Source organism: Homo sapiens, chromosome 3 (assembly GCF_000001405.40).
Source record: "Homo sapiens chromosome 3, GRCh38.p14 Primary Assembly".
NCBI classification, from domain to species: Eukaryota; Metazoa; Chordata; class Mammalia; order Primates; family Hominidae; genus Homo; species Homo sapiens.
Window position 1 is genome coordinate 195,815,447 of NC_000003.12, and position 19,894 is coordinate 195,835,340.

Genomic DNA, 19,894 nt, shown 5'->3' on the forward strand with positions numbered 1-19,894 from the left:
CCACGACATCCTTCGCTCCGGGTCCTTTCCCGGTGGCAGGTGGAGACGGCCTTTTGGAGGGGCCTCGCTGTCCAGCTGCAAGGATAGTGGTTAGTGGACAGCTCCCAGCTGCTGGCCCCTGCAGGGTGGGCCTTGCTTTTATGCTGAGCTCATGCTCTTCTCCAGGTGACCCTGTGGCCGATGACTAAGCAAAGTGGCATCACAGTGACCTCACCATTTCCACCCCACAAGACTCCGCCAACAGGCAGTCTGCCCCTCAGAGCGCCCCATGGGCAGGAGCTTTGTGGCTGTGTCAGCTGTGCCACATCCTCCTGCCCAGCCCGGCCTCCTTCTTCTTACACAGGTGCCACATCCTCCTGCCCAGCCCGGCCTCCTTCTCCTTACGCAGGTGCCACATCCTCCTGCCCAGCCCGGCCTCCTTCTCCTTACGCAGGTGCCACATCCTCCTGCCCAGCCCGGCCTCCTTCTCCTTACGCAGGTGCCACATCCTCCTGCCCAGCCCGGCCTCCTTCTCCTTACGCAGGTGCCACATCCTCCTGCCCAGCCCGGCCTCCTTCTCCCTACGCAGGTGCCACATCCTCCTGCCCAGCCCGGCCTCCTTCTCCTTACGCAGGTGCCACATCCTCCTGCCCAGCCCGGCCTCCTTCTCCTTACGCAGGTGCCACATCCTCCTGCCCAGCCCGGCCTCCTTCTCCTTACGCAGGTGCCACATCCTCCTGCCCAGCCCGGCCTCCTTCTCCTTACGCAGGTGCCACATCCTCCTGCCCAGCCCGGCCTCCTTCTCCTTACGCAGGTGCCACATCCTCCTGCCCAGCCCGGCCTCCTTCTCCTTACACAGGTGCCACATCCTCCTGCCCAGCCCGGCCTCCTTTTCCTTACACAGGTGCCACATCCTCCTGCTCAGCCCGGCCTCCGCCCTTCTCCTTACGCAGATGCCACATCCTCCTGCCCGGCCCGGCCTCCTTCTCCTTACCAGGTGCCACATCCTCCGCCCAGCCTGGCCTCCGCCCTTCTCCTTACCAGGTGCCACATCCTCCTGCTCAGCCTGGCCTCCGCCCTTCTCCTTACAAGGTGCCACATCCTCCTGCTCAGCCTGGCCTCCGCCGTTCTCCTTACCAGGTGCCACATCCTCCTGCCCAGCCTGGCCTCCGCCCTTCTCCTTACGAGGTGCCACATCCTCCTGCCCAGCCTGGCCTCCGCCCTTCTCCTTACGAGGTGCCACATCCTCCTGCCCAGCCTGGCCTCCGCCCTTCTCCTTACCAGGTGCCACATCCTCCTGCTCAGCCTGGCCTCCGCCCTTCTCCTTACCAGGTGCCACATCCTCCTGCCCGGCCCGGCCTCCTTCTCCTTACGCAGGTGCCACATCCTCCTGCCCGGCCTCCTTCTCCTTACCAGGTGCCACATCCTCCTGCCCAGCCCGGCCTCCTTCTCCTTACCAGGTGCCACATCCTCCTGCCCAGCCCGGCCTCCTTCTCCTTACGCAGGTGCCACATCCTCCTGCCCGGCCCGGCCTCCTTCTCCTTACACAGATGCCACATCCTCCTGCCCGGCCCGGCCTCCTTCTCCTTACCAGGTGCCACATCCTTCTGCCCGGCCCGGCCTCCTTCTCCTTACCGGGTGCCACATCCTCCTGCCCGGCCTCCTTCTCCTTACCAGGTGCCACATCCTCCTGCCCGGCCCGGCCTCCTTCTCCTTATGCAGGTGCCACATCCTCCTGCCCGGCCTCCTTCTCCTTACCAGGTACCACATCCTCCTGCCCAGCCCGGCCTCCTTCTCCTTACCAGGTGCCACATCCTCCTGCCCAGCCCGGCCTCCTTCTCCTTACGCAGGTGCCACATCCTCCTGCCCGGCCTGGCCTCCTTCTCCTTACACAGATGCCACTTCCTCCTGCCCGGCCCGGCCTCCTTCTCCTTACAAGGTGCCACATCCTCCTGCCCAGCCCGGCCTCCTTCTCCTTACCAGGTGCCACATCCTCCTGCCCGGCCCAGCCTCCTTCTTCTTACCAGGTGCCACATCCTCCTGCCCGGCCCGGCCTCGTTCTCCTTACACAGGTGCCACATCCTCCTGCCCGGCCCGGCCTCCTTCTCCTTACCAGGTGCCACATCCTCCTGCCCAGCCCGGCCTCCTTCTCCTTAAGCAGGTGCCACTCCCCTATAGCCTTCACATTCCTTCCACCAACTCAGCATTTGCTTCTGGGAGGACCCGACCCGAGACACTCACGTAAAAGAGGATGCCCACGTACAGATGTGGCAGCAGGCCCTCCGAGCTGGGATTCAGACCCAGGTCAGCACGACTCCAAAATCTTTCCTCCTCTGCAGCTCCTTATTCCATGGTTCAGCAGGGAGGCGGGCGGGCTGGAGGCCCCGGCACCTGCTGTATGTGGTCTCTATCCGAGGCCATGGTGAAAGCAGGGAGGTGGGTGGGCTGGGGGCCCAGCACCTGCTGTATGTGGCCTCTATCTGAGGCCATGGCGAAAGCAGGGGCCCTGGTACTAGGGTCACACAAAGGCCACTGTCATTCTCTTGGGATTCGGTTTCTCCTTTCCCTAAAAGTGCCAAGCATTCTCACGCCAATTAGCTCATTTCCTGTCTCATCTCACCTCTGTGGTGGAGCAGGGCATGATTTTTACGCATGCAACGTCTTCTTACGGGCATCCCTGTGAAGCAGGGCCACCCCGGGGCACAGGAGGGCCTGGAGGTCCAGGGATCTAAACTCATTCCATTCACCCAGCCTTAAGGAGAAGAAAACCGAGGCCAGGAAGTCAGCAAGAACATGAAGTCGGTGACCCAGCATCCAGGTCCCCGGATTTGCCACCTGTGTCCTTTTGTGGGGCTTCCCTTTGTAAAGCTTGAAAGAATAAGAGGATCTTAACATAATTTTAAAACTGGAAGAGACCCTGGTGACCATGTCATCCGAAGCCCTCATTCTACCGTGGAGGAGGTGTGGGCCCAGAGAGAAGGGAGGTCCTTGTTGGCGCAGCCGGTGAGCGGCAGGGTGTGTCCCGGAGCCCGGGTTTCCAGCGCCCTCTCTGTCTTGCTGCCGAGCGTCCACGTCTGTTCGGTTGTCTTTGCACACTCCTGGCTCCCAGTTAGACCGCTGCTCCCAGGCGGAACGTCTGCCACAGGGGACACGTACATGCGGCCACCATGGGGACTGAATGAGGGTGGGCCCACAAAGCTCTCCAACGCGGGGTTCTGACAGAAAGCCCAACCCGGGCCGAAAGCCATCTTTTAAAATGAAGTTTACTGGGTTTCTTTTTTCATTATAAAGTAATGCACACTGTCCACAGAGATATGAAAATATTTAAAAGTAGAGAGAAGAAAAACATCATCAATGTTTCACCACCCAGGAACAACCCTATTAACGCGTTGAGAGATTTCTGGCTTGTTTCTCATACATAGCTCATATCCATAGTTTAAATCTATCATATCCTAGATATAGTTTGATCTCCTCTTTACCACCTAACTTTATTTATTTATTTATTTATTCATTTTTATTATTTATTTATTTATTTTGAGACAGAGTCTCGCTCTGTCACCCAGGCTGGAGTGCAGTGGTGCGATCTTGGCTCACTGCAACCTCCGCCTCCTGGGTTCACGCCATTCTCCTGCCTCAGCCTCCCGAGTAGCTGGGATTATAGGCTCGTGCCCCCATGCCTGGCTAATTTTTGTATTTTCAGTAGAGACGGGGTTTCACCATGTTGGTCAGGCTGGTCCCAAACTCCTGACCTTGTGATCCGCCCGCCTCAGCCTCCCAAAGTGCTGGGATTACAGGCGTGAGCCACTGCGCCGGGCCATGACCTAGCTTTAAACCTAAAAGTCTCCCCAATTATTATAAAACTCCATTCACACATTTCTGAAGGCCACGTGATACTGCATTGGCTGCCACCATAACTGAACTAACTTGGACACTGGGTTATTCACGGCGTCCCTGTTACAGGTAATGCCCGGATCAGAGGCTTTGTACCCAAAGTGCCTTCTGTGTTCAGGATCATTTCCTGAACCTGGAAGCAGAGCTGGTGTGTTCTGATCGGCGGCTCTGACCCTCCTTCTACAGTCAGAAGTCCATAAACATGAGCTTGCTCTGTCCAGGATGTCGGCACTTTTTTGGACACTTGTGATCAATTAACCCTTTTAATGTTGATGGTCTAATGGCGGAAGCAGAGCTGACAATGGGGCCGGGCGCTGTGGCTCACGCCTGTAATCCCAGCACTTTGGGAGGCCGAGGCGGGCAGATCACCTGAGGTCGGGAGTTCAAGACCAGCCTGACAAACATGGAGAAACCCCATCTCTACTAAAAATACAAACTTAGTAGAAATGTTGGTGGTGTGCACCTGTAGTCCCAGCTACCTGGGAGGCTGAGGGAGGAGAATCACTTGAACCTGGGAGGCGGAGGTTGCAGTGAGCTGAGATCACACCACTGCACTCCAGCCTGGGCAACAAGAGCGAAACTCCGTCTTGAAATAATAAAATAAAATAAATAGAATAATTACTCCGGAAGCCTAAAAATGATGGGTGGATTAAAGACTCTGCAGGTGGGTGGGGAAAAGGTGGAGAACCCCTTCCCATCCCAGCTCTTTCCTGGGTGAGCTCCCAGCTATGATCCAGGACCAACTGCCAGGCTTCTCATTTTGATACTGGACACTATGCTTAGCCCAGCGACTGTCCTGAAGAAAGTGATCCAGACAAAATTTGAACAGAGAAAGAAGGCAGTGAGATTAGCCCATCAGGCTGGAAAGTGAGACTTGTTCCTTGTTCCCCTTGCTCCCTGGGGAGAGGAGGCACCAGCTGAAGCTGGCCAGGGGACAGAAGAGGGGTCTGGTGAGCTCTGCTCCCCGGTGTGCAGGGGAGGCAGAATGCAGGCAGAGGAGCAGCCTGACAATGCGACGGACACATTACCACGTGGCCCTATGTGCCCTCACGGGGTCACGAGCTAGTGGAATCTAAACATGGAGAGAGGATCATTTAGCAACAGGGTCTGTGGCCCTGGGCATGACTGTGTGCCAGGCAACAGACAAGCCTCAGTGAGGGCCATCCAGGAAGGCCTCTGCCTTAGTGCTCACAAACTCGGTGGCTTCAAACAAACAGGAATTTATTCTTTCACAGTTTGGAACCCAGAAGTCCAAAATCAAGGCGTGGGCAGAACCACACTCCCTCCGGAGGTTCTGGGGTGGAGCCCTCCTGGCCTCTCTCCTGGTTTCCAGGGGTGGCTGGCCATTCTCCGCATTCCCGGGCTGGCAGCCGTGTCCCTCCAGCCTCTGCCTCCATCGTGTTGTGTGGCCATCTTCTCCCCTGTGCGTGTGTCTCTGTTTCCTCTTCTCATAAGGACACCAGTCACTGGATTAGGCTCTGCCTCAATTCGGCATGACCTCAGTTTAACTTAACTAATAACCTCTGCAAAGACCCTATTTCCAAATAAGGTCACATTCTGAGTGACATGAATTTTGGGGGACACGTACTCACCCCAGTACAACCTCCTTGAAGAAAATTTGGGGCAGGGTAGGTGTATGGGTCATGACAATAGATGATTCTTGCCGAATGATGACCTATTTGGGAAGACCAGCAGGTGTGCCCACATCACCCTGGGCTGGCTCTGGAAATCCCCCAAATCTCGGCTCTTGTCACCACTGAGTCAGGAGCCAGGCGGCATGACCAAGGGACCAGCTTGACTATTCCTCGATCTAACTTCTTGGATCATGAGGCCAGGCAGATGGCAGCCCCAGGAGCCCTCAGCTGTAGCTCATCAGGCCCGTGCTGAGACCACCCCCTCCCCTGCCCAGGAGGGCAGAAAAGCAGGGCCCAGGCAGCAGTGGCCACACCTGCCTCAGTGGTTTCAGCCCTGCTCTCTCAAAGGTTGACCTGCTATTGACTGGAAGGTATCACATTCCCTTGTTTCCTTCTGTAACCAGAGAAGAAGGTAAGGGGTAAGGGTGGGAGAGGGGAGAGAGACAGGACAGTATATCTAAAAATAAACGTACCCCACCTCAACCTCAAGCATTGCACAGAAAGGTGTGTCCGCCTGCTCTTCACCCGCCTGTGACCCCCGCATTCCCTCCAGGTGAGCAGGAGCCCGACCTAGACACTCTCTTTAGCCTACACATGCCAGACTCTCCCTTTAGAGGAAAAAGGGACTTCTCACCAAGCCACACCCCTTGAAACTGCTTCCTCGGGTGCACCTGGAGTGTTCTCACTCCTCGGCCCCAGTTCCCACTCACACTTCCTGGAGCTGGAGGAGGGGGCAAGAGGGTGATGCGTCATAAGCCTGCATGGACATTGTCACTGAAATGAAAGCTCAGCTTCCAGGGTCCGGAGACGGCTTTGGCCCCAAGGTGCCAGGGACAGCATAAGCTGCCGGGACCTGGCGAGGCCCAGGGGGCGAGCCTTCGGGCAACATCTAGCCTGGCACTCCTGGTTTCGTGCTGGAGGAGCAGGGTGAGAGAGGGGCTACTGTTGAGCTGTAGGAGGCAGAGTGGGTGCTGGGGGAAAGAGCAGGAGCTTTGGAGTCACTGTGGGCAAGCCACTTCCTAGCTGAGCCTCAGTCTCCATGTCTGCACAGTGGGGAGAGTAGACGTAATTCCTATTAGCTTAGTACGTCGTAGATTCTCAGCAAATGTTAGCGTCCCCACGCCACCGCCCCCCAGATGTGGGCATGGAAAGAGAAACAAACTATTTGGAAGGAGAGTCTGGGGTTGTTCTGGGTGGAGGGCCAGGTCATAGACATGATGTGGTGGCAATGCCTGATTCTGGCTGAGGGAATCATTCTGGAATGGTGAGGGGGTGGATCTGGCCACAGGGCTCAGGAGACTATTGTCGTCTCAGGGGTCCTCACAAAGTGGCTGGGCCAGGTGAGCTGGTGTTTCTTATATGCGGGTAAAGGTGTTGCTCGTATGCAGGTAAAGGTGTTTCTCGTATGCGGGTAAAGGTGTTTCTCGTATGCGGGTAAAGGTGTTTCTCGTATGCGGGTAAAGGTGTTTCTCGTATGCGGGTAAAGTGTTTCTCATGCAGGTAAAGGTGTTTCTCATATGTGGGTAAAGGTGTTTCTGATATGCAGGTGAAGGTGTTTCTCATATGCGGGTAAAGGTGATTCTCACATGCGGGTAAAAGGTGTTTCATGCAGCAGTTGGCAAGTTGGTAACTTCTTCAAGCCCTGTGATTTCGAGATGGGGAGAGAAGTCTGTGAGAATGCAGTTTTGAGAAGCAGAAGCAATGAGGTCGCATCAGCCTACTGCCGAGCATAACACACAAGGGCAAAGAAGACGGGGGTCTGGGATTGGAGGGCTTCTTAAAATTCTGACACTAGACCAACTTTCCAAGTTGTTAAAGCCTGCAGACCCCAGATGTAATCTGTCAGTGTGAGAGGAGTTAAATGTCAGCTCCAATATCTACATTATAATAATTGATACATATTACCTAATAATCAATATATTGTGATGTTATATCATAGCATTTATTACATACAACACAGTTACTATTATATTAGCTTCATCTACATGTGAGATCTGCTTTTTAAAAAACTTACTTTATTTTTTATAGAGATAGGGTCTTACTTTGTTGCCCAGGCTGGTCTTTTTTTTTTTTTTTTTTTTTTTTGAGACAGAGTCTCACTCTGTTGCCCAGGCTGGAGTGCATGATCTCTCTGCCTCCCGGATTCAAGCGATTCTCCTGCCTCACCCTCCTGAGTAGCTGGGATTACAGGCGTGCGCCACCACGCCCAGGTAATTTTTGTATTTTTAGTAGAAACGGGGTTTCACCATGCTGGCCAGGCTGGTCTCAAGCCCCTGACCTCAAGTGATCCACCCGCCTCGGCCTCCCAAAATGCTGGGATTACAGGCATGAGCCACCACGCCTGGCCAAGATTCACTTAAAAAAAAAAAACTGCTTTAAAAACATTCATAAGCCGTTATTGCCTGGAGAGTCTTTGAATGTGTCACACCCTTTAACACGCAGGAGCAGCCAATCCCCAAAGCCCTGGTCACGTGATGACAATTAGGCCACCTACCCTCCGTTATTCTGGCCCCTCTGCCAAGAGGCAGGCCCTCACCCAACTGACCCTACCAGCGCAGGGGCCTGAGTGCGGCTCTCCAAAGAAACTTGATGTTGGCATTCAGCCACAAGCCCGGCTCTCAGAGGAACCTGGTGTGGGAAAGACGCCCCACCTCCAGCCCCTGTGCCGTCAGAGTCAAGATCACTGTACTTTGCATAAAGTATTAGGAAAAAACCCAAATTCTTGCTCTTTGATTAGAGCCTCTCCTTCTTTCCCCACCAGCCCTCTGCAGAAGCAAGAGGCAAAACTAAAACTCAGGTGTTTTTATCCGTGAGTCTGTGTTTCTGTGTAAGTGATCTATGCATTTAAAAACCAATAACTTACTTTATCCTTCTCAGGACCTGAAGTATGGTCTTTCATCAGATGCCTACAGAGGGTAGGAAGGCCAGGAAGAGGTGGGGAGGGCAGGAGGGGAGCGCTGAACAAATGTAGAGGTTGGATCCAGGCGTGCGGATCAGACCTTGAACTAAGGAGCCATGGAGAGCACAGAGCCCCCAGGGACACGGGAAGACGGTTGTCCTGGGTAGATGGCAGCTCCAGAAGCCCCCAGCTGTGCCTCATCAGGCCCATGCTGAGACTACGGTCTCCTCTGCCCAGGAGGGCCACAGACAAGTGGAGAAAGCAGAAAAGCAGGGCCTGGGTGGCGCTGGCCTCACCTGCCTCCATGAGGCGGACAGGAGCCTCGCAGCCGTGGACGCAGCCCAGGCCAAGCCATGCAGGGAGTAGTAACAAGAATAAATGAAGCCGTGAAGCCAGGGCCCCTTTGGCGCTTGTGCAACCGCCAACCTGCGTAGTTCTGTGAGCACTGGGACACGTGTTGGTGCTGACTCATCAAAATCCCGGGACTGTGTGGTTTTGGACACTGCTGGAGTCCAGGTGCCCTGTGTGGTTTTGGGCACTGCTGGAGTCCAGGTGCCCTGTGTGGTTTTGGGCACTGCTGGAGTCCAGGTGCCCTGTGTGGTTTTGGGCACTGCTGGAGTCCAGGTGCCCTGTGTGGTTTTGGGCACTGCTGGAGTCCAGGTGCCCTGTGTGGTTTTGGGCACTGCTGGAGTCCAGGTGCCCTGTGTGGTTTTGGGCACTGCTGGAGTCCAGGTGCCCTGTGTGGTTTTGGGCACTGCTGGAGTCCAGGTGCCCTGTGTGGTTTTGGGCACTGCTGGAGTCCAGGTGCCCTGTGTGGTTTTGGGCACTGCTGGAGTCCAGGTGCCCTGTGTGGTTTTGGGCACTGCTGGAGTCCAGGTGCCCTGTGTGGTTTTGGGCACTGCTGGAGTCCAGGTGCCCTGTGTGGTTTTGGGCACTGCTGGAGTCCAGGTGCCCTGTGTGGTTTTGGGCACTGCTGGAGTCCAGGTGCCCTGTGTGGTTTTGGACACTGCTGGAGTCCAGGTGCCCTGTGTGGTTTTGGGCACTGCTGGAGTCCAGGTGCCCTGTGTGGTTTTGGGCACTGCTGGAGTCCAAGTGCCGCTGGGGCTGCCTCGGGGAGGAGGAAAGTTTCCAGAAGAGCTTACGGAAGAGCCTGCGGCTTGGGAGCAGCATCCCCCAGCTCGCGTGCTGGGTGGGAAGTGCCGAGGGGCTGTGCAGAGGGCTCTCGTGTTTGGGGATTTTCTCGGGACGGCTGTTTTCTACTTGAAATGGGGGTCCTGGAGTTCATGGGGAATGAGAGAGGTGAGCGGGAGCCAGAACGGGAAAGTCCTTGTCCGGGGGCTTCCGCAGGAGCCCCCTTGGCCCCTGGCCAGACACTTCCAGCTTCCCTCTGGCCCCAGAGATTCCCCTCGGGGTCAGGCCCTGCCTACCTGCCTCGGCCTCGCGGTCGCCTTCCTGCCCCTCAGGAAGCCCTGCCAAGGTCCCCTGAAGGCCCGCATGCTTGCCCGGAGGAGGCCGCTCCTCATGTTGCCCCAGGGACTGCCCCCAAGGCTTCCTTCTTCAGGGAAGAGGCGGCTCTTGGCCAGGGAGTTGTTGGGGCTGTTTCCAACCCAGGCAAACCTTCGCTTCCTCTCCTGCCCTCCTGCCCCGGGTTTTTCCCCAGACAGACCTACGGGTGCCAGTGCCAGTACGGGTGCCAGTGCCCCAGCCTCGCCTCCCCTGCAGCTCCCTCCTGGGCCAGGCCGAACACCATCGTTTCACAGTCCACTTACTGAGCTGAGAAGACCTCCTCGTATGAAGATCTGGGAAGGCCTGAGCTTTCACCGGCCTGCAAGCTCACGGGCGAGCCTGCCATGGTTGAAGGACGCTGGCAGAAGACCAGAGACCCTGGCCCAGGGCAGAGGACTCTGTCACTCACGGCACGGCACGTTGCTCAGTGTGAACGAGCTTCCTCTTCACTCCCGTTTCCTTTGCTCCCCAAACCCCACGGGGGCTACGCAGAGGCCCAGGTGGATTCTGTGGCACAGCTGGGTTTGCCTCACCGCCGGGGATCCCCGTGCTTAGGAAACGCCGGACTGTCATGAGGGGCTGCGAAGCAAACCTGCCCAACCTTTCCCGGGGGTGGACGTCGTCTTTGTTACACTGGACAGCGAGCAAATCTCGCTTCTGCCCCAGAGGGAGACGCTGTCCCTGCGCGCCGAGACTTTCACTATATACACGTCCTTGACGAGAGTCCAGAGCAAAAGGCCGTCGGCGCATCTGCTCCTGAGACTTGCAGAAACGTGGGGAACCAGTGAAAAATTGTCTCCGACATCCGAGACCCAGAGGAAGCCCAGGCCAACGGGCGCAGGGTGCTGGCTTTTCCGCTGCCTTAGGTTTCACCGCGGGTGCCGTCTAGCCCCGTCCCCCACGTCTCCGTGGCCAGCACAGGGCCCGAAATGAGACCGCTCATAAATAACTGAAAAAATCACACTTACCTCAGATTGTACCCTACTATGTCAATCATGTTGGAACAAATTAGCGTTTCTGAAACAAGAGTTATGGCAGAAGTGACTGCGATGTTCCGATGTTTCTAGGTGTTGGCACGGATACTGTTCGGTCCCAACCCCAGGAGGTAGTTACTGGGAGCCATTCTGAGGAGGGAGTGCTGAGGACTCCCCTCAACAAGGGGCTGTGGCCAAGGAAAGGGGCCCTGAGAGACCTCACACAGAGCCCCCCAGTCGCATACGGCACGGCTGAACTCTCCTGGCTTCCCAGAGAATCCAGAAGGAAAGGGCGGCCTCCCGCAGCCCCCGCCAGCCAGCTCAGGGGCAGACGGCCTAGTGGGGCCCTTGCCCAGCCACCCGCCTATCTATTGGCTAAAAAAATGTAAAAACAAAAATCACTCTTCCCATACTACTCTTTTTCTCCTTCCCTCTTTTTAAAATCCTGTTTTTGCTTTTGTTCATTGACAGCAGCCTAAAAAGTGTTCTTCCTCATATATGGGAGTTAATTCTTTTTGTTTTTTTGAGACGGAGTCTCACTCTTGTCACTGAGGCTGGAGTGCAGTGGTGTGATCTCAGCTCACTGCAACCTCCACCTCCCAGGTTCAAGCGATTCTCCTGCCTCAGCCTCCTGAGTAGCTGGGATTACAGGCGTGTGCCACCACCCCCAGCTAATTTTTTGTATTTTTTGTAGAGACGGGGTTTCACCACGTTGGCCAGGATGGTCTTGAACTCCTGATCTCAAGGCTCACTGCAACTTCTGCCTCCCGGGTTCAAGGGATTCTCCTGCCTCAGCCTTCTGAGTAGCTGGGAGTACAGGCCTGTGCCACCACGCCAGGCCAATTTTTGTATTTTCAGTAGAGACGGGGTTTCACCATGTTGGCCAGGATGGTCTCAATCTCTTGACCTCATGATCCTCCCACCTCGGCCTCCCAAAATGCTGGGATTACAGCGTGAGTCACTGTGCCCAGCCTAATTTTTGTATTTCTGGTAGAGATGGGGTTTCACCGTCTGGTCTGGTCTGAAACTCCTGACCTCAAGTGATCCACCGGCATTGGCCTCCCACAATGCTGGGATTACAGGCGTGAGCCACCGTGCCCGGCCTGACGCGGTGAAAGTCTGAAGATTCTACATCTACTCCTTCAAATTTACTTCTAGGAATTCACTCAAAGGGAATAGCCAGCCAAGTATACAAAAATGTTTGCGCATGGCAGCACTTGGAAACTACCTGCTGGCTTACGACTGGAGTTTGGTGATTATAATGCATTAGTGCAATGGAATACAAAATATTCTTTAAAATGATCTTGTGGAAGGCCAGGAGTGGCAGCTCATGCCTGTAATCCCAGTATTTTGGGAGCCAAGGCAGGTGGATGAATTGAGCCCAGGAGTTTGAGACCAGCCTGGCCAACACGGTAAAACCCTGTCCCTACTAAAAATACAAAAATTAGCCGGGCTTGGTGGATGTGCCTGTAGTCCCAGCTGCTTGAGAGGCTGAGGTGGGAGGATCTCTGGAGCCCCAGGGGCAGAGGTTGCAGTGAGTGGGGATAGCACTGCTGCACTCCAGCCTGGACGACAGAGCGCAATCCTGTCTCAAATAATAATAATAATAATAAACAGTAAATAAATAAACAAAATTTAAAGCTGATCTTGTGGAAGAATACAATTGACCATTGAACAATTCGTGGGTTAAAGGGCAGCAACCCCCGTGCAGCTGAAAATCCATAGATAACCTTTGACTCCCCAAAAACTTAACTACTAATAGTCTACTGTTGACCAGAAACCTTGCTGATGACATAAACAGTTAATTAACACATACTTGGTCTATGTATTATATCCTGTATTATTACAGTAAAGTAAGCTAGAGAGGAGGAACTGTTGTTAGGAAAATTATAAGAAAGAGAGAATATATTTATTATTCATTATGTGGAAGTGGATCATCACGAAGGTCTTCATTCTCGCCGACTTCACACTGAGCCAACTGAGGAGGAGGAGGAGGGTCAGGGGTTGGTCCTGCTGTCTCAGGAATGGCAGAGGTGGAAGAAAATCTGTGTGTAAGTGACCTGCCCCGTTCAAACCCACGTTGTTCAAAGATCTACTGTATATAGCAATCGGGTGACAGGTAATAAAACAGTGTGAAGTGACACGTTTATCAAATGGCTTATGCAGTATGATCCCAACTTTTTTAAAAAGCTACATAACATGAAAAAAAGCCCAGAATGAAATGTACTAAAGTGTAACATTGGCATTCTCTGAGTGCTAGGATTAGGGGTAACTTTCATTTTGTTCATTTTGCTTGTCGATCTTTTCAACACGAAGTATTATTTTATAATACAAAAATCTTGTGGGTTTTTAAAATGAAGCTGTATCTTCCAAATTGAGTTTTTCTCCGGTTAGTGTTAACAGAAGCCTGACTTGCTTGAGAAGACGGCCGCTGCTGGTAAAGGGACAAGAGGAATCCAGGGAGGAAGGAGGCAGGAAGGAGCGGGGCCTGCAGAGAACGCCAGGCCGAAAGGACCCCCAGGGCCAGCCGGCTTGAAGCCTTCCCTGGACTTGTGCCAGGCACCGGGCACTGCAAAAAGCTGTGTGTCTGCATGTGTAGAGAACTGCGTTACGAATCTTTTTCCTTTGTTGAGACAGTGTCTTGCTCTGTTGGCCAGGCTGGAATGCAGTGGTGCGATCACAGGTCACTCAACCACCGGGCTCAAGTGATCCTCCCACCTCAGCCTCCTGAGTAGCTGGGACCACAGGTATGTGCCATCATGCCCAACTAATTAAAAAAATTTTTTTGTGTAGAGACAGAGTCTTACTAGGTTACCCAGGCTGGTCTTGGGCTCCTGACCGCAAGCAATCCACCCGCCTCGGCCTCCCAAAGTGCTGGGATTACAGGCATGAGCCACCGTGTCCCAGGCAGAAATGTATTTTTATGTGAGTTGTAGTTAAAAAAAAAGTTGTGCAATATGACTCTATAGTAGCCCCTGCCAAGCCCTACAGTAGCCCACACCAAGCCTTACTGTAGCCCCTGCCAAGCCCTGCCCAGCCCTGGCTGCGCCCTTCTCGTAATAGGGAACTTGAGAACTCCCGATCTTTATGATGTTTCTTGACAATACAAACTGTTAGGCATTTTTATTATTATTATATTTAACAAGCGTTGGTTCCTCATCGTGCCCAGCCAGCTCCCCGCACCCCCTCTCTGGGGCAGCAGCTTAGATGTTGGAAGGCAGCCACCGTGTCACCCCCAAGTCCAGGCTTGCCTCCCCATCCCATCCCCAGCTCCTTAACCACCCTCCAGCACGAAGTTTTGAGCCACTTCCTTTTCTAAGGACACCCTCCCCACATCCAGGCCGCCTGGTCCATTCAAATATGATCCCCATCCTAGGACCAAGGCACTAAGCCAGGCCATGTTGCTCATTTATTAACCCATAGGTTCATTTGAAGATCATTAAGCAAGCACTGGCCGTGTTCTTGGCACTGCGCTGGGTGTAGGGGAGTCACCCAAAGGACAAAAAAGGCCCAGCCCCCTGCCTTGAGGAGCCCCCCATTGGGTGGGGTGAGGCAAGTTGGCCCAGGTCATCTTTGTCACAACGAAGCTGTGCTCCCCATGAGGGCTGGCTGGGGTCCGACGGGACTGATACTCATTCTGGCCGTGAGCCGAGAGAAGCCAGCCAGCCTCAACTGCACGGCCACGACCTGCCGCCCGCCCTCCAGCTCCTCTGGGCCGGCTCCCAGTCAGGGCATGTTTCTCCAGCAGGCAGCCTGGGAAGGTGTAGACCTCTGACCCCCGGCTGGGCCCCGTCCAGGCTTCAAGGACTCCTGAGGGCCAGCGGCCGGAATGACCACTTGAGAGAATGGACTTGCTACTAACTGTTGAACTCTGTCAGCGCCTTTCACACCGGTGGCTGATAAGAGATTAATTTCTTATCTTCTGATAAGAGATTACTTCTTATAAGTAATCTTATACTTCTGATAAGAGATTAATTTCCAAAATACATAAGGAATGCAAACAACTCTATAGCAAGAAGACAAGTAATTCAATTTTAAAATGTGTAAAGGACTTGAACGGACATTTTTCAGAAGAAGACATACAAAGGCCAACAGGTGTATGAAAAAATGCTCCATATCACTAACCCTCAGGGAAATGCAAATTAAAACCACAATGAGACATCACCTCACTCCTGTTAGAATGGTTTTCACAAAAAGACGAAAGATAGTAAGTGTTGGGGAGGATGTGGGGAAAAGGGAACCCTTGTATACAGCCGGGAACGTGAATTAGTACCAGCCATTATGGCAAAGTTTGAAGGTTCCTCAAAAAATTAAAAATAGAACTACCATAGGATCCAGCAATTCCACTGCATGGTGGATATCCAAAGTATATAAAAGCAGTGGCCGGCTGGGTGCAGTGGTCGGCTGGGTGCAGTGGCCGGCTGGGTGCAGTGGCCGGCTGGGTGCAGTGGTCGGCTGGGTGCAGTGGCCGGCTGGGTGCAGTGGTCGGCTGGGTGCAGTGGCCGGCTGGGTGCAGTGGCTCACACCTGGAATCCCAGCCCTTTGGGAGGACAACACAGGAAGATTGCTTGAGCCCAGGAGTTTGAGACCAGCCTAGGCAACATAGCGAGACCCTGTCTCTACAAAAAATTTTAAAAATTAGCCAGGTGTGGTAGTTCATGCCTGTGGTCCCAGCTACTCGGGAGGCTGAGGTGGGAGGATCACTTGAGCCCAGGAGTTCGAGGCGGCAGTGAGCTATGATCACACCATTGCATTTCTGCGTAGGTGACAGACAAGATTCTGTCTAAAAATAAAATAAAACAGGCCAGGCACGGTGGCTCACACCTGTAATCCCAGCAGTTTGGGAGGCCGAGGCGGGCGGATCATGAGGTCGGCAGATCAAGACCGTCCTGGCTAACACAGTGAAACCCCGTCTCTACTAAAACTACAAAAAATTAGCCAGGCGTGGTTGCGGGTGCCTGTGGTCCCAGCTACTTGGGAGGCTGAGGCAGGAGAATGGTGTGAACCCGGGAGGCGGAGCTTGCAGTGAGCCGAGATCGCGCCTCTGCACTCCAACCTGGGCAACAGAGCAAGACTCTGTCTCAAAACAAACAAACAAACAACAACAACAAAAACCACATTGATTTGTTCAGCAGCGATAGAAAAATAATAAACTAAAATCAGTATGTCAAAGAGATGTCTGCACTCCAGTGTTCACTGCAGTAATATTCACAATAGCCAAGATATGGAATCAACCTGTCTATCAACGAATAAATGGATAAAGAAAACATGGTATAGATATATGATGGAATACTACGTACCTTTTAAAAAAGGAAATTCTGTTCTGTGACAACATGGATAACTCTGGCCAACATTATGTGAAAAGGAATAAGCCACCCATAGAAGATAAATAATGCATGTTCTCAGTTATATGCGGAATGTTAAAAAGTCACACTCAGCAGGAACAGAGTCAAAAGGTGGTCACTGGAAGCTGAAGATGGAGGGATTGGGGAGACGTTGGTCAGAGGACACAAAACTTCAGTTAAACTGGAAGGATACGTTCGAAACTTATCCTTCGAAACTACTGCACACCATGGTGACGATGGTGAACGTATCATGCACTCGAAGATGGCTGACAGGGTAGATTCAAAGTGTTCTCGTTCGAGGCCGGGCGCGGTGGCTCACAACTATAATCCCAGCACTTTGGGAGGCCGAGGCGGGCGGATCACGAGGTCAGGAGATCGAGACCATCCCTGGCTAACACGGTGAAACCCCGTCTCTACTAAAAATACAAAAAATTAGCCGGGCGTGGTGGCGGGCGCCTGTAGTCCCAGCTACTCGGGAGGTTGAGGCAGGAGAATGGCGTGAACCCGGGAGGCGGAGCTTGCAGTGAGCCGAGATGGCACCACTGCACTCCAGCCTGGGCGACAGAGCGAGACTCCGTCTCAAAAAAAAAAAAAAAAGTGTTCTCGTTTGAAACATCCTTCGAAACTACTGCACGCCATGGTGACTGTGGTGAATGTATCATGCACTTGAAAATGGCTGACGGGGCAGATTCAAAGTGTTCTCGCCACACACAATCACACATTTGTAAGGTAACGCTGCGTTCACTAGCTTGATGTAGTCATTTTACAATGTATACATCTATCAAAACACCATGCTGGCCGGCGTGGTGGCTCACGCCTGTAATCCCAACACTTTGGGAGGTGGAGGTGGGAGGACTGCTTGAAGCCAAGAGTTCAAGACCAGCCTGGGTAACATAGTGAGGCCCCGTGTCTACCACACACACACACACACACAAAGTTAAAAAAATTTGAGAAAACCCACCATGCTGTACACAGAAATACAGATCATCTCTGTCAATTAAAAATAATTTTTAAAAAATTACAGCAGGTAAATATATATACAAGTAATCTCTACTCATTGAATATTTATTTATTTATTTATATTTGTGACAGAGTCTCGCTCCGTCACCCAGGCTGGAGTGCAATGGCACAATCTCGGCTCACTGCAACCTTCGCCTCCCAGGTTCAAGCGATTCTCCTGCCTCAGCCTCCCGAGTAGCTGGGATTACAGGCATGCGCCACCACAAGTGGCTAATTTTGTATTTTTGGTAGAGACAGGGTTTCTCCATGTTGGTCAGGCTGGTCTTGAACTCCTGACCTCAGGTGATCTACCTGCTTCGGCCTCCCAAAGTGCTGGGATTGCAGATGTCAGCCACTGTGCCTGGCCTGAATCTTTAAAAAGTAGATGTTAACACCCTGTTTTACAAATGAGAAAATTAAACTGAAAGGTTCATTTTTTGTTGAAACAATGTCTATTAAGTGCCTATCTGTGCCAGGGGTGAAGCTAGAAGCAGAGATAAAGGCAGTGGGGAGGAAGGCTGGTGTCTCTGCTCTCATCAGCCTGGTCTGGAAGCAGATAATAAACACAAAGGCCAGCAAATAATTATAACTGCCATAAGCATTATGAAGGGAAAGCAGAGACACTCTAGGGACATACAGCAGGGTACCGACTTTAGCTGGCAGTGAGAGGCTGGCAGAGGGATGCCTGACCAGGGGCCAGTGGAGGAGGGTGAGGTTAGCCAGGCAGAGGCTGGCACCACTGCTGTGGGCCGAGGATGGCCTGTGCTAAGGCCCTGAGGTAGAGAGACACTTTGCCCATCCTAGGATCTGAAAGAAGTCCAGGGGGATTGGAGCAGAGGGAGCGGGATGAGTGAGGTGGGCTTACACAGCGGGGGATTAGGGCAGAGGGAGCGGGATGACTGAGCTGGGCTTACACAGCGGGGGATTGGGGCAGAGGGAGTGGGATGAGTGAGCTGGGCTTACACAGAGGGGGATTGGAGCAGAGGGAGCAGGATGAGTGAGGTGGGCTTACACAGGGGGAGATTGGAGCAGAGGGAGCGGGATGAGTGTGGTGGGCTTACACGGGGGGGATTGGGGCAGAGGGAGTGGGATGACTGAGCTGGGCTTACACAGCGGGGGATTGGGCAGAGGGAGTGGGATGAGTGAGCTGGGCTTACACGGGGGGATTGGGGCAGCAGGAGTGGGATGAGTGAGCTGGGCTTACACGGGGGGATTGGGGCAGAGGGAGCGGGATGAGTGAGGTGGGCTTACACAGCGGGGCAGGAGGCAGGTTCTTTGGGTTTCCGAGCTCTGTGAGCATCAGAATGTCCTGAGGAAGCTGATTTCAGTGCAGGCTCTGGGGCCGGCCATGCCCTCCCTGGAGCCTCAGTCTGTGAGTCTTCCCTGGGACCTGTTTCCCCAAGTGGTGCCGAGGCAAATGGCCGGATGACGACATTTCAAGGGTGTTATTGGCCATCTGAAGGATCTGGGACTTTCCCTTTTTTTTTTTTTTTTTTTGAGACGGAGTCTTGCTCTGTGGCCTAGGCTGGAATGCAGTGGTGCGATCTCAGCTCACTGCAGCCTCCACCTCCTGGGTTCAAGCAATTCTCTGTCTCAGCCTTCCGAATAGCTGGGATTACAGGCACATGCCACCACACCCAGCTAATTTTTTGTGTTTTTAGTAGAGACAGGGTTTCGCCATGTTGGCCAGGCTGGTCTTGAACTCCTGACCTCATGATCCACCTGCCTCGACCTCCCAAAGTGCTGGGATTACAGGTGTGAGCCACCTCACCCGGCTGAATCTGGGACTTTTTCTAAGAAAGCAGAAGCCATTGCGACCAAAACCATTCAGCAGACAGGATTTGAACCCAGCTCGGTCTGATTCCAAAACCAGAAGGACACCATGTCTTCCTTAAAGGAAGAAGGCACATCAGACCATCTGTCAAGTGGGTCCACTGAGGGTCAGAGGAAGAGCCTCCAGATGAGGGAACGGTGTCAGCAAAGCCAGAGCCCACATGGGACGAGGCGGCCCCAGAGCCGATGGCCTGAGCAGAGCCAGTCGTGTGTGTTATGGGTTTTCGCCTTAGCAGAGGCCTCACAGGCTCCCTCCCCACGTGTGTCTGCATCCGAATCTCATTTTCGCTTTGCAATACCACTGTGAGAAGAGCCTGCTGGGAGGTTCTTCCCCTTTCCCAGATGGATACACTGAGGCTCATGCAGGTGACACCATTTACCCGATGACCTATGTAAAGTCAGAAAATGTGCCGGGGGTGCTGGGGCCCCGGGAGGAGGTTGAGCTGGACTCGCCACTGGGCAGCCAAGGAGGCTGGGTGGTCCTGGCACACACAGAGGTCATGGGGCAGCATGGCCCCTGCTGTCGTCGACCACTTGGAGACTGGAGGACTTGGCCTTTGGATTTGGATAGAGGAGCCCTCTGTCATGGGTGCTGTTCAGTTCGGGGAGGTCACGGAGGTCCCCAAATGGGGATGGTCTCACTGCCGTGCCGCCTTTGCTGGCTCCTCCCCACCCTGCGACTCAGTTTCCTCGTCTGTGAAATGAGGTTGAGCTAGTTGGTCACTACCCAGTTCAGCTCTGACACTGTCGGACTCTGAGTCTGCCTGGGTGGGTCTCTGATTCCGCATGGGTGGGTCTCTGATTCCGCATGGGTGGGTCTCTGATTCCAGAGGA

At 53.6% G+C, this 19,894-nt stretch overlaps 1 protein-coding gene across 1 annotated transcript, besides 11 other annotated features; it reads left to right on the forward strand.

Annotated features, from left to right (window-relative positions):
- LOC124905352 (vegetative cell wall protein gp1-like) lies at window positions 259–3,330 on the forward strand. The gene is made up of 3 exons (XM_047449429.1): window positions 259–2,095; window positions 2,184–2,283; window positions 2,731–3,330. The coding sequence occupies exons 1-3, from the start codon at window positions 269–271 to the stop codon at window positions 2,850–2,852; spliced, it is 2,049 nt and encodes a 682-aa protein (XP_047305385.1). The 5' UTR covers window positions 259–268; the 3' UTR covers window positions 2,853–3,330.
- Window positions 984–1,789: an enhancer, noted in NCBI's record as "H3K27ac-H3K4me1 hESC enhancer chr3:195543301-195544106 (GRCh37/hg19 assembly coordinates)". NCBI's record gives its function as "activates a minimal SCP1, AML or CMV promoter by ChIP-STARR-seq in primed H9 embryonic stem cells {active_cell/tissue: H9 hESC(primed)}" and the evidence as "EXISTENCE:reporter gene assay evidence [ECO:0000049][PMID:30033119]".
- Window positions 5,218–6,417: an enhancer, noted in NCBI's record as "P300/CBP strongly-dependent group 1 enhancer chr3:195547535-195548734 (GRCh37/hg19 assembly coordinates)". NCBI's record gives its function as "activates an origin of replication core promoter dependent on BRD2, BRD4, P300/CBP, MED14 and CDK7 cofactors, with strong dependence on P300/CBP, by STARR-seq in HCT116 cells {active_cell/tissue: HCT116}" and the evidence as "EXISTENCE:reporter gene assay evidence [ECO:0000049][PMID:35650434]".
- Window positions 8,213–8,900: an enhancer, noted in NCBI's record as "OCT4-H3K4me1 hESC enhancer chr3:195550530-195551217 (GRCh37/hg19 assembly coordinates)". NCBI's record gives its function as "activates a minimal SCP1, AML or CMV promoter by ChIP-STARR-seq in naive H9 embryonic stem cells {active_cell/tissue: H9 hESC(naive)}" and the evidence as "EXISTENCE:reporter gene assay evidence [ECO:0000049][PMID:30033119]".
- Window positions 9,793–9,962: an enhancer, noted in NCBI's record as "experimental_67540 CRE fragment used in MPRA reporter constructs". NCBI's record gives its function as "activates a minimal promoter by MPRAs in K562 erythroleukemia cells, with activity observed for both the introgressed and non-introgressed 3:195552195 variant alleles {active_cell/tissue: K562}" and the evidence as "EXISTENCE:reporter gene assay evidence [ECO:0000049][PMID:34662402]".
- Window positions 9,793–9,983: a biological region, named in NCBI's record as "Neanderthal introgressed variant-containing enhancers experimental_67540 and experimental_67545".
- Window positions 9,814–9,983: an enhancer, noted in NCBI's record as "experimental_67545 CRE fragment used in MPRA reporter constructs". NCBI's record gives its function as "activates a minimal promoter by MPRAs in K562 erythroleukemia cells, with activity observed for both the introgressed and non-introgressed 3:195552216 variant alleles {active_cell/tissue: K562}" and the evidence as "EXISTENCE:reporter gene assay evidence [ECO:0000049][PMID:34662402]".
- Window positions 10,782–10,951: an enhancer, noted in NCBI's record as "experimental_67549 CRE fragment used in MPRA reporter constructs". NCBI's record gives its function as "activates a minimal promoter by MPRAs in K562 erythroleukemia cells, with activity observed for both the introgressed and non-introgressed 3:195553184 variant alleles {active_cell/tissue: K562}" and the evidence as "EXISTENCE:reporter gene assay evidence [ECO:0000049][PMID:34662402]".
- Window positions 10,782–11,026: a biological region, named in NCBI's record as "Neanderthal introgressed variant-containing enhancers experimental_67549, experimental_67550 and experimental_67551".
- Window positions 10,797–10,956: an enhancer, noted in NCBI's record as "experimental_67550 CRE fragment used in MPRA reporter constructs". NCBI's record gives its function as "activates a minimal promoter by MPRAs in K562 erythroleukemia cells, with activity observed for the non-introgressed 3:195553199 variant allele {active_cell/tissue: K562}" and the evidence as "EXISTENCE:reporter gene assay evidence [ECO:0000049][PMID:34662402]".
- Window positions 10,857–11,026: an enhancer, noted in NCBI's record as "experimental_67551 CRE fragment used in MPRA reporter constructs". NCBI's record gives its function as "activates a minimal promoter by MPRAs in K562 erythroleukemia cells, with activity observed for the non-introgressed 3:195553259 variant allele {active_cell/tissue: K562}" and the evidence as "EXISTENCE:reporter gene assay evidence [ECO:0000049][PMID:34662402]".
- Window positions 18,558–18,758: a silencer, noted in NCBI's record as "peak4987 fragment used in MPRA reporter construct". NCBI's record gives its function as "represses an SCP1 promoter by STARR-seq MPRAs in K562 erythroleukemia cells {active_cell/tissue: K562}" and the evidence as "EXISTENCE:reporter gene assay evidence [ECO:0000049][PMID:32103011]".

Excerpts from the sequence above, each read along its gene's own strand:
- LOC124905352 (XM_047449429.1), top strand. The coding sequence starts at position 269 with ATGGGCAGGAGCTTTGTGGCTGTGTCAGCTGTGCCACATCCTCCTGCC. Across the intron at positions 2,096-2,183 it reads GGCCTCCTTCTCCTTACCAG|CATTTGCTTCTGGGAGGACC; the intron begins GTGCCACATCCT and ends CCACCAACTCAG. Across the intron at positions 2,284-2,730 it reads GAGCTGGGATTCAGACCCAG|CCTTAAGGAGAAGAAAACCG; the intron begins GTCAGCACGACT and ends CCATTCACCCAG.